We start from the raw sequence: 12,124 nt of genomic DNA, 5'->3' as shown, positions 1-12,124 counted from the left end.
ATTTAGTAATATGGATATTACTTTTTGTGGCTTGACACGTCTTTTTTTATTGCTTAATGCATATTAATATTACTAAATGCATATTTAGTATGCATATTACTTTTTGTGGTTTGCTAAGTCTTCTTTTTATTACTTAATGATACTCCATTGCACAGATATACCACAGTTTGTTTATCCTTTCACCCATTGGAGAGCTTCTTAGTTGCTTCCAGTTTTTGGCAATTATGAATAAAGCAGCTATAAACATTCTTGCGCAGGGTTTTGTATGGATATAAGGTTTCTCTCTCTCTTTTCTTTTCCTTTTTTATTTCTTTCCTTTCTTTCTTTCTTCCTTCCTTCCTCCCTTCCTTCCCTCCCTTCCTTCCCTTCCTTCCTTCTTTTCTTTTCGTTTCTTTTCTCCTTCCTTCCTTCCTTCCTCTCTCTCTCTCTCTCTCTCTCTTTCTTTCTCTTACTCTGTTGCCCACGCTGGAGTGCAGAGGCATAATCGTGGCTCACTGCAACCTCAAACTCCTGGGGCTCAAGTGATCCTCAGCCTCAGCCTCCCCAGTAGCTGACACTACAAGTGTGTGCCACCACATGTGACTAATTAAAAAAATTTTTTTTTGTAGAGACAGAGTATCACTGTGTTGCCAGGACTGGTCTGGAACTCCTGGCCTTGGCTGAGCACAGTAGCTCACACCTGTAATCCCAGCACTTTGGGAGACCGAGGCAGGCAGGTCACTTGAGGTCAGGAGTTCAAGACCAGTCTAGCTGACATGGTGAAACCCTGTCTCTACTAAAAATATAAAAATTAGCTGGGCATGGTGGCGTGCACCTGTAATCCCAGCAGCTACTCAGAGGCCGAGACAGGAGAATCGCTTGAAGCCGGGAGGCAGAGATTGCAGTGAGATGAGATCACTCCACTGCACTCCAGCCTGGGTGACAGAGCGAAACTCTGTCTCAAAAGAAAATAAATAAATAAATAAATAAAAAGAAAGAACTCCTGGCCTCAAGCAATCCTTCCTCTTTGGCCTCCCAAAGTGATGGGATTACAGGTGTGAGCCACTGTGCTCGGCCCTGGATATAAGTTTTCACCTCAATTGGGTAACTATCTAGGAGTGTAATTGTTAGATTGTATGGTAAGACTATGTTTAGTTTTGTAAGAAACTGCCAAACTGTCTTAAAAATGGCCATACCATTTTACATTTCCACCAGCAACGAATGAGAGTCCTGTCACTCCACATCCTCACCAGCATTTGGTGTTTTTAGCATTCTGGATTTTGACCATTTTAATAGGGGTTTAGTGGTACCTTGTTGCTTCAATTTGTAATTCCTTAATGACATCAGGTTAAGCATATTTTCATATGCTTATCTTCCATCTGTATATCTTCTTTGATGAGGTGTCTGTTCACATCTTTTGCCCATTTTTTTTTTTTGAGACGGAGTCTCACTGTGTTGCCCAGGCTGGAGTGCAGTGGCGCGATCTTAGCTCATTGCAACCTCCCTGGTTCAAGCTATTTTCCTGCCGCAGACACCCAAGTAGCTGGGACCACAGATGCACGTCACCACGGTCGGCTAATTTTTGTATTTTCAGTAGAGACGGTTTCACTATGTTGGCCAGGCTAGTTGAGAACTCCTGACCTAAGGTGATCTGCCCTGCTCGGCCTCCCAAAGTGCTGGCATTACAGATGTGAGCCACCGCCACCATGCCTGGCCCGTTTGTCCATTTTTTAATGGGGTTGTTTGATTTCTTAGTGTTGGGTTTTAAGAGTTCTTTGTGTATTTTGGGTCATCAGATATTTGTTTTGCAAATATATTCTCCCAATCTGTGGCTTGTTTTCTTATTCTTTTAACAATTGCTTTTTTGTTGTTGTTGTTGAGACAGAGTCCCACTCTTTCGCCCAGGCTGGAGTGCAGTGGTGCAATCTCGGCTCACTGCAACCTCTGACTCCCAGGTTCAAGCAATTCTCATCCCTCAGCCTCCCAAGCAGCTGGGATTACAGGTGCACACCACCACGCCCAGCTGATTTTTGTATTTTTAGTAGAGACGGTATTTCACCATGTTGGCCAGGCTGGTCTCGAACTCCTGACCTCAAGTCATCTGCCTGCCTTGGCCTCCCAAAGTGTTGGGATTACAGGTATGAGCCACTGCACCAGGCCAACAAATACTTATTTATTTATTTATTTATTTATTTATTCTCCATGTATACGACCGTTCCACATCTCGTGAATTTAGTTGCCCAATTCCAGCTACCAGCAGATTTCAAATATAGCTAACCCTTGAACAACATGGGGGTTGGGGGCACTAATCCTCCTCATCATCAAAAATCTGTGTATAACTTTTGACTCAAATACTTAATTACTAATAGCCTTCTGTTGACTGGAAGCCCTACTAATAATATAAACAGCCAATTAACATATATATTTATGCATTCCTGACCTACCTAACTCTGTTTCAGTTTTTTTTTTTTTGATATTTCTAGCTATGTGGTTTGTGAGTTTTTTCAAATTGTCACATCTCTCCAAAATTTTTTTCAATATGTTTATTTTTTTAAAAATCTGTGTATAAGCAGACTAGCACAGTTCAAACCCATGTTGTTTAAGGGTCAGCTGTAGTGTCTCTTAGTCCCAATTCTAATATTTTTAGAAGAGACAATTATTGACCAGTTTGGTGAAGTGGAGAATCAATGATGGCTGAATGAGGTGGTAGCATTAAGGTAGCTGGAAGGGAATCTGGGTGATATAAATTTAGTTTTCTAGCCTCTGCAGTACAGGAAGACGAACTGGAAGGAGGCAGGAATGATTGCTCAACCCTCCATATAAACACAGCAGTTGATGCCTGGTGGATGGTTGGGGGCTGTGGATATGACGTAGTACATGTAGGTTAAAAAAAAAGTTCAACATATACAGAGAGATGAAACAAAATGCAAAATTTTCTACCCCGCAGTTCCACTCTTCCGCCCTCTTTTCATTTTTATATATTCTGGAGTTTTCTTCTTCTTCTTCTTTTTTTTTTTTTTTTTTTGAGAGAGGGTCTCACTCTCATTACCCAGGCTGGAGTACAGTAGTGAGATCCTGAATAACTGGGACTACAGGTGTGCACCACCATGCTTTGCTAATTTTTTGTATTTTTTTTTTTTTTAGTAGAGATAGGGCTTCATCATGTTGCCTAGGCTGGTCTCAAACTCCTGGGCTTAAGTGATCTGCCCACCTCGGCCTCCCAAAGTGCCAGGATTACAGGTATGAGCCACCGCGCCCAGCCTTTTCTGGAGTTTGAACATCACTCCTCTAAACAATATACTTTATCTTTGTTTCTCAATTTAGTAACTCAAGAGAGCATCTACTGACACCTCATCATTAAAGCAGGGAATGGAAATCACCCATTCCCATCTCCCCGCCCATGTCTGTTTTCTCAGTTTTGTTTGCTGTGTGATTACTGGAGTCCTGTGTTGGTGCTACTTATAGTTCTAAACAATCTATATTTAAAATTTCGTTCCTCATACATCAATTTTAGAAAGAATTTCTTGAGCCCTATCACTATGTAAGAAAAATTGTGCCTCCCCCAGCCCCAGGTCACCTGCCATCTCCCTCTAATTTCTGCTGTCTACTTTTCTTTTCTTTTCTTTTCTTTTTTTTGAGATGGAGTCTTGCTCTGTTGACCAGGCTGTAGTGCCGCGGCGTGATCTTGGCTCACCACAAACTCCGCCTCCTGGGTTCAAGTGATTCTCCTGCCTCAGCCTCCCATGTAGCTGGGACTACAGGTGCGTGCCACCATGCCTAGCTAATGTTTGTATTTTTAGTAGAGATGGGGTTTCACTATGTTGGCCAAGCTGGTCTCAAACTCCTGACCTTGTGATCCACCCGCCTCGGCCTCCGAAAGTGCTAGGATTACAGGCGTGAGCCACTGCGCCTGGGCTCTTTTTTACATTTTCATGGTCAAAGTTTGTAACATTTGCATGCTGTTCGGTAATTATAATGAAATCTTCCATGCTTTATCTTCAGGTTGATTCTGAAAATTGAAAACCAACGGATGTTATGATTGTATAAACGTCATTTACTGCAGAACCACGTAACCAGATAGCTCCTTTGAGAAGGAAACATAGTATCATTTCCTCTACCCTAAAGTGCCTTGATGGAGAATATTTGCTGTTTCAGATGTCAAGGTCAAATGGATTCTCTTTTCTTACACCCCACTAATTGTTCAAAATCATGCTTCAGATGTGTTTTCTTTCTATTTGGTCCTGGAATAGATTTTGTCGTTTCTGGTTCTCCAATTGCCTTTCTTACTTCTTTCTGAGAGAAGAAACAGATGTTGTCTTTGTTATGTCAACCAGAAAGACTACTTGCTGTGCCCACCTTCCTGTGCCTGGATTCTTTGCAGGTGCAGTGAGATGAAGTAGTTGTTGTGTTTATCCAGCATTCCTTCTCTCCTGTCTTTCGGGGAACTGCAGCTCTTTCAGTTCAATGATGTGACTTGGGTTTTTTCCCCATTTTCAGTGGGTGGGCTTGTCACCAAGGTCTGGCAGTTTCCCTTGATGGTAGCTCATCCGAGGGCTGGACACACAACTGAGGCAAGGATAATTGGAGTCCTTCTATGGAATTTGATCAGTGGCTATTAACAGTGAGAAGCACTCATCCCTTTAGCTTCAGGTAAGGCTTGATCCAGGGACTCAATGATGTCCACAAGGACCCAGGGTCAGTATATATCTTTCATCTGCCCTCAGTGTTGTCTTTACCTGCTGGCTCCTCATAATGAACTGTGAGCAGCAACATGCTTCTCTCGTGCAGTAAATGGAAGAGGTGTCAATTCCACCAACCCACAGGGCTTGAGAATACAGCAGGAAAATCAGGGTATTTTTACCCAAAGAAGAGTGAACTAATTTTGGAAACCAAAACCACAGATGTTCACACCCTTTTCTATTGAATTTCTTTTTATTTCAGCAATTCTATTTTAAATTTCCAAGAATTATTTTTTGCTTTCTTTTCATAGCTGCTTTTTTTTTGTTTTATGAACATATTGGCACTAGAATCTTTCTTTTCATAAGTTTTCTTGTATTCCTTGAATTATCTGTTCCCTCCGGGATTGGTTTGTTCACTTTTTGTTTAGTTTATTAAAGAGGAAGTATTGGTCAGGCACGGTGGCTCACACCTGTAATTCTAGTACTTTGGGAGGGCAAGGTGGGTGGATTGCTTAAGCCCAGGAGTTAGAGACCAGTCTAGGCAATATAGTGAGACCCCCATCTCTATATAATTTTTTTTTTTCGATTAGCTGGACATGATAGTGGGTGCCTATGGTCCCAGCTACTTGGGAGGCTGAGGTGGGAGGATCGCTTGAGCCTGGGAGGTCGAAGCTGCAGTGAACCATGATTGCACCATTGCACTCCAGCCTGGGTGACAGAGCGAGACCCTGTCTCCTTGTTGTCCAGGCTGGTCTCGAACTGCTGGCCTCAAGTGATCTGTTCCCCTCAGCCTCCCAAAGTGGTGGGATTACAGGCGTAAGCCACCATGCCCGGCTGACCCCATCTCAATAAATAAGTAAGTAAGTAAATAAATAAATAAATAAATAGGCAGTATGGCTGAGTAGTTCAGAGTCCAACTCAGGAAACAGGTTGCCTGGGTTCAAGTTTCATTTCTCTGCCACTTACCAGCCATGTAAACCTCGGTCAAGGTTATTTTACTGTACCATTCTGTGACTCAGTTTCCTGTAAGTGGAGATAACAATAGCATCTAGCTCAGAGGGTTGCTAAATGAGTTAATAAGTATAAAATTGTCAGAACACTGGATGGGTGTGGTGGCTCATGCCTGTAATCCTGGCACTTTGGGAGGCTGAGGCGGGTGGATCACCTGAGGTCAGGAGTTTGATACTAGACTGGCCAACATGGTGAAACCATGTTGTAACCCGGTCTCTACTAAAAATACAAAAATTAGCCGGGTGTGGTGGGATGTGCCTATAATACCAGGTACTCGGGAGTCTGAAGCAGGAGAATCGCTTGAACCCAGGAGGCAGAGGTTGCAGTGAGCTGAGATTGAGCCACTGCACTCCAGCCTGGGTGACAGAAAAATACTCCATCTCCAAAAAAAAAAAAAAAAAAAAAAGTTGTCATAATACTGCCAGGCCCACAGTAACGGTGCAATAGCTCTTTGTTCTTTGCTGTAGGTTTTTATTTATTTATTTATTTATTTATTTATTTATTTTTTATTTTTTGAGATGGAGTCTCACTCTGTCACCCAGGCTGGAGTGCAGTGGCATGATCTCCGCTCTCTGCAACCTCTACCTCTAGGGTTCAAGCAGGAGGGCAGGGCTTCATCTCCCCCTACTTCTTAGCACTGGGGCCCCAGGATTTACTCGGGCACATCACCTGTTAGAATAAAGACATGAGACCATGTGACTAACCTCTAGCCAGTGGAATATAAGCAGCAATGTAGTGTGCAATTTAAAGAATTACCTTTTTTGTTGTTGTTAAGAGACAAGATCTCACTCTGTCACTCAGGCTGGAATGTAGTGACATAATCATAGTTCAATGCAGCCTCGAGCTCCTGGGTTCAAGTGAACCTCCTACTTCAGCCTCCCAGCTACTCGGGAGGCTGAGGCAGGAGAACCCCACCACACCCAGCTAATTTTTGTATTTTTAGTAGAGACAGGGTTTCACCATGTTGGCAAGGCTGGTCTTGAACTCCTGACCTCAGGTGATCCACCCATCTTGGCCTCCCAGAGTGCTGGGATTACAGGCGTGAGCCAATGCGCCTGGCCTGTTTGTTTCTGGATCTTTCTCTTTGTGTTGGTCTTCCTCACCTGTCTGGTAATACCTGGTAACCAATTCATCTTTATGAACAAAGGGCAGGTTGATTGATACTGGAACTCACCTAGGGTATTTCCTCTGCCCTGCAGTGTTACATGTGGGGGTGGAGAGGTACGTGTGCCAGCTACCAACCCTTTGGGGTGTATTGAGTCCCTGTAGAGAGTCCACTTCTGCTCCGGCCTCTGGGGCAGCTTTCTCTCAGCGTGCTTTGGCTCTGGTTTCCTTTACCCGCATCTGTTCCTGAACGTGATCCTCCCTCTTTCTATCTTCTAGAATTAAATCAAAATCCTGTGCAGTGGATACTTCCCATCCCCCAGCCATCCTGTTCCCAGCCCTTCTGTCTCCTTTTCCCTTTGCTTACTGTGCTCTCAGTGGTATTGGATGGGCCAGGAATGGCAGAGACAAGTTCTCAGTCCACCATCTTGAACTAGATGTTGGTGTGGTGGTTTAAATATGTGTGCGTGTGCGTGTGTGTGTTTAGATGGAGTCTTGCTCTGTCACCCAGGCTGGAGTGCACTGGCACAATCTTGGCTCACTGTGACCGCCACCTCCTGGGTTCAAGTGATTTTCCTGCCTCAGCCTCCTGAGTAGCTGGGATTACAGATGCCTGGCTAATTTTTGTATTTTTAGTAGAGATGGGGTTTCACCATGTTGGCCAGGCTGGTCTCAAACTTCTGACCTCAGGTTATCCGCCCACCTCAGCCTCCCAAAGTGCTGGGATTACAGGCATAAGCTTCCGTGCCCAGACTAAATATTCTTTTTTTTTTTTTTTGAGACAGAGTCTGTCTCTGTGGCCCAGGCTGGAGTGCAGCGGCGCGATCTCGGCTCACTGCAAGCTCCGCCTCCCGGGTTCACGCCATTCTCCTGCCTCAGCCTCCCGAGTAGCTGGGACTACAGGCGTGAGCCACCGCGCCCAGCCGGCTAAATGTTCTTAACTCCATCTGACTCTGTACAGACGGTGTCCTTTGGGGACTGCATGTGTTCCACTGTATGCCCAGACCCTGAGCAGGGAATAAAACGGGAGGACATGTACATGGGTCTTTTAACTTTCTTGTAACGGGCATCCTTGGGCTTGTTGACTTTCCCTGGAAGTCTCTGGCTTCAGAGCCGGTCCCTTAGTGGGTCATTCCACCTAGACCTTGTGGTTGTGTTGAGGAGGGAGGTCCCTTCAGTGTCTCTGAAAACCCCAGAGCCTTGAAACACTCAGGGACAGAAGTGGGTGAGTACAAGATGCATGAACAGGAGAGGAGAGCCAGAGGGACAGATGACAGACTGGGTGAGGTGACTGAATGAGTGAGGGTCCAGGGTGTGGCTATGAGAGTAGAGGTCACCTCGGGTGGAGGAGAGAGGAGAGTACGGCCTTCAGATACCCAATAAGAGAAGCAACAGCAGAGCCAACATTCTCAGAGCTCTTTTGATGTTCCAGGCCCTGGGAACTCTTCATACAAGCTTTCCAGAGGACTCTAGCTTCTGAGTCATTGAGTGACTCCTGGGATCGTAGAGCAGGTGATGGATATGCCTGGATTTGAACCCAGCTCTATGCAGGACCTAGGCTTTTAGCCAGTGAGCTACATGACTCCCATCTGCCCCAAGCTGACTACAGTATGGGTCTCAAAGATCTCCCTTGGGCCTCTATAGACTGAGTTGTCCCCACCTGAGACACAGCAAGTGGGTCTGAAGGCTGAGGAAGCAGAGGGCTCTGGCACCCTCTGGGGGAGGCAGGAGGCTCTGCAGAGATACTGGCAAGGAGGTGGGCAGGGGCCTGAGGCTGGAATCTGGGTAGGTCCAAGGAATGAATGACTGAATTAAGGTCCTGGTTGCTCCACAGGAGGGCAGGGCTTCATCTCCCTCTACTTCTTAGCACTGGGCCCCCAGGATTCACTCGGGCACATCACCTGTTAGAATAAAGACTTAAGACCATGTGACTAACTTCTAGCTTCTAGTGGAATATAAGCAGCAATAAAGTGTACAATTTAAAGAATTACCTTTTTTGTTGTTGTTAAGAGACAAGATCTCACTCTGTCACTCAGGCTGGAATGCAGTGACACAATTATAGTTCACTGCAGCCTCAAGCTCCTGGGTTCAAGTGAACCTCCTGCTTCAGCCTCCTGAGTGGCTGGTATTGCAGGAGTGACCCACCACATCAGCAATTTAAGGAGTTATCTTAAAGTAGAGGGCATGGCCTACTTTGTCCTTTCCTCCATCCTGCTTTCCCGAATGCAGATACAGTGGCTGGAGCGCAAGCAGCCACTTTGGACAATGACTGGAAGCAGCCCATTGACAATGACTGAGCCAAAAAATAAAAAGGGATCTAGTTTCATGATTGTGGAGTTGTCATATCATCTTGGATGCCAACACTTACTTGAGGGAGAGGGTGAAACACTTCTATTTTATTTAAAACACCGTTATTTGGTGTTTTCTATACTTGTAGCAAAACTTATTTTTTTTCAACCAAAAAGTTTTGTCTTTGGCAAATTCTCTAACCTCCCTATGACTTGGTTTTCCTATCTGGAACGAGAATAATTCACTGGGTATGGTGGCTCATACCTGTAATCCCAGCACTTTGGGAGGCCAAGGTGGGTGGATCACTTGACTGGGAACTCTCAGGAGTGTGAGACCAGCCTGGGCAACATGGTGAAGCCCCATCTCTACAAAAAAATACAAAAATTGGCTGCGTCTGGTGGTACTCACCTGTAGTCCCAGCAACTTGGGAGGCTGAGGCAGGAGGATCACTTGAGCCTAGGAGGTCAAAGTTGCAGTGAGCCGAGATTGTGCCATTGCACTCCAGCCTGTCCAGCCTGGGTGACAGTGAGACCCTATCTCCAAAAAAAAAAAAAAAAAAGAAAAAGAATAATTGTTATTAGATGAATGTGTAACAGTGTGACCTACTGAGAAATTACATTTTTTAAAATATTTTGAGGCAGAGTCTCGCTCTGTCATCCAGGCTGGAGTGCAGTAGTGTGATCTCGGCTCACTGCAATCTCCACCTCCCGGGTTCAATCGATTCTCGTGCCTCAGCCTCCTGAGTAGCTGAGACTACAGGCGCCTGCCACCAGGCCCAGCTAATTTTTGTATTTTTCGTAGAGACAGGGTTTCGCCACGTTGACCAGGCTGGTCTTGAACTCCTGGCCTCAAGCGATCTGCCCACCTCGGCCTCCTAAAGTGCTGAGATTACAGGCGTGAGCCACCGTGCCCAGCCTACCTAGTTATTTTTATTTATTTACCTAGTTTGCTGTATACTCAAGGAAATGACAGGAAGCAGTGCTCCCTGACTAATCAAGGTAGACAAGTCTTTGCTCTCCTCATGCTAAGGAAAGGTAAGCAAGTTCTGGGTGTGTTGTTCTGGGACTTAGGCCTTGTATCATCTTGCTAATGTAGCCACAAAATTCTCAGCAGCATCCAGCAATAAATTCACGCATCCACAGGTTGACTGGTCTGGTGGACGTAGGCTGGGCTCAGCTGAGTTTTGTTTCAATCCATGGGTCTGATTCAGGTCATCTGCATGTGTTCGTCATCCTCTTTGGACCAGCAGGTTAGTTGGAGCCTGCCCCTTGCATGGCAATGACAGAAATTCAGGGGGAAAGGCAAACTGCTTAAGTACGTTTCAAGACTTAGTTTGTGTCATGTCCGTGCACATCCATTGGCCAGAGCAAGTCATATGACTAAGGTCAAAGTCAAGGGATGCTTTCCCACCATGAAGCCAAGGGGTGGATGTATAGAGTCCCAGTGGACTGAAGGATTGGTACCCATGTGTCACAACCCCACAGGCCTAGAGCTGGGTGTCTCCGGACCAGCTGTTGAGGGAGGAAGTAATGGGATGAACCCTTTGTGTTTTGGCCGAAAGAGGAAATGGCCCAAGCATAGGAGTGGACACAGGAGCTATAAAGAGGAACAGAGTGATAGAGACCTAATATCTCTGTAGCCTGAGCATTTCAGGGTGGAATGTCACCAGACATCTGCTTTGGGGCACCATGGCCTGCGATTCTGGATCCACCCTGATTTAGGGTTTCACATCCTTTTACACCTGCACACGTGGCCTTGCCCTCAGGGTACAGGGGCCTAATTTGCTGTGGCCAGCTCCCCACCAGTACAGGTAGGCAGGGACTGAGTTGAATTAAGTTTGAGTTGTGAAATTAAAAAAAAAAATGGCCAGGAGTGGTGGCTTACGCCTGTAGTTCCAGCACTTTGGGAGGTCGAGGTGGGAGAGTCACTTGAGCCCAGGTGTTTGAGACCAGCCTGGGAACATAGGGAGACTCCGTCTCTACAAAATAACTTAAAAAATTAGCCGTGCATAGTGGCAAGCGCCTGTAATCCCGGCTTCTTAGGAGGCTGAAGCAGGAGGATTGCTTAAGCCTAGAATTTCGAAGCTGCAGTGAGCCAAAGTGAGCCAAGATTGCACCAGGACACCCCAGCCTGGGCGACAGAGCAAGACACTGTCTCAAAAAACAAAAACAAACAAACAAACAAAAACCAAAAAAAGTCTTGTTGCTTGTATCTGGGATTGCTTGGAGCAATTAACATCTGCTTCACATGTCAAGTGCCTGCACAAACTAGGCCCTCAATAAGATGGGCTGCAGTAATGTAACAGTAACTAGCTGTGGTGGGGGCTTTCCTTTCCTGTCCCAAGGTGGGGGTGAAGGTATAGGATAGTGGCCGGGTGCAGCGGCTCACCTCTGTAATCCCAGAACTTTGGGAGGCCGAGGCAGGCAGATTACTTGGGGTCAGGAGTTCAAGACCAACCTGGACAACATGGTGAAACCCCGTCTCTACCAAAAATACAAAAATTAGCCGGATGTGGTGGTGCATGCCTGTAATCCCAGCTACTCGAGAGGCTGAGGCAAGATGATCACTTGAACTCGGGAGGTGGAGGTTGCCGTGAGCTGAGATTGTGCCACCGCACTCCAGCCTGGACGACAGAGTGAGACTCCATCTCAAAAGCAAAAACAAAACAAAAAGAAAAAAACCAACAACAAGAAGCCAAAAACCAAAAAACGTACAGGACAGTGAGAGGGGAAAGAGAAAACCTGAGGAGTGTCCTGGACATTGGGGCCTTATGTCCCCCACAACACGGGACTGCCTCTTGGGGGTTCTTAAGAGTACTCAGTGGTACAGGGAGGCTCCTGAATGGCTTGGAGAATAACTGCCTTGGTCTGGGCATCGTGTAGTGCATCCCCACCCCAGGCTGGGCGCGCCTCCCTCTCAGGTGTCAGGGAGGAGAGCTGTGTGCAGGAAGCCCCCTTCCACCTCCCCCAGCCTCCCTAAGGGGCTCAGAGAGAGTGGGGTGTGGATTTGGCTGGTGAATGGGAGTCCCCCACTCCATTTCTCACTTTGCCTGGGGAGGCTCC

The 12,124-nt window shown here is 46.1% G+C and overlaps 2 annotated features.

The window, feature by feature from the left end:
* Nucleotides 7,849–8,018: an enhancer, noted in NCBI's record as "experimental_60092 CRE fragment used in MPRA reporter constructs". NCBI's record gives its function as "activates a minimal promoter by MPRAs in K562 erythroleukemia cells, with activity observed for both the introgressed and non-introgressed 20:3697618 variant alleles {active_cell/tissue: K562}" and the evidence as "EXISTENCE:reporter gene assay evidence [ECO:0000049][PMID:34662402]".
* Nucleotides 8,374–8,433: a silencer, noted in NCBI's record as "silent region_12624". NCBI's record gives its function as "represses an Ori minimal core promoter by ATAC-STARR-seq in GM12878 lymphoblastoid cells {active_cell/tissue: GM12878}" and the evidence as "EXISTENCE:reporter gene assay evidence [ECO:0000049][PMID:35858748]".

Source organism: Homo sapiens, chromosome 20 (genome assembly GCF_000001405.40).
Source record: "Homo sapiens chromosome 20, GRCh38.p14 Primary Assembly".
Taxonomy (NCBI): domain Eukaryota; kingdom Metazoa; phylum Chordata; class Mammalia; order Primates; family Hominidae; genus Homo; species Homo sapiens.
The sequence above is the reverse complement of the archived record's forward strand: the minus strand, read 5'-3'. Positions and strand labels throughout refer to the sequence as shown.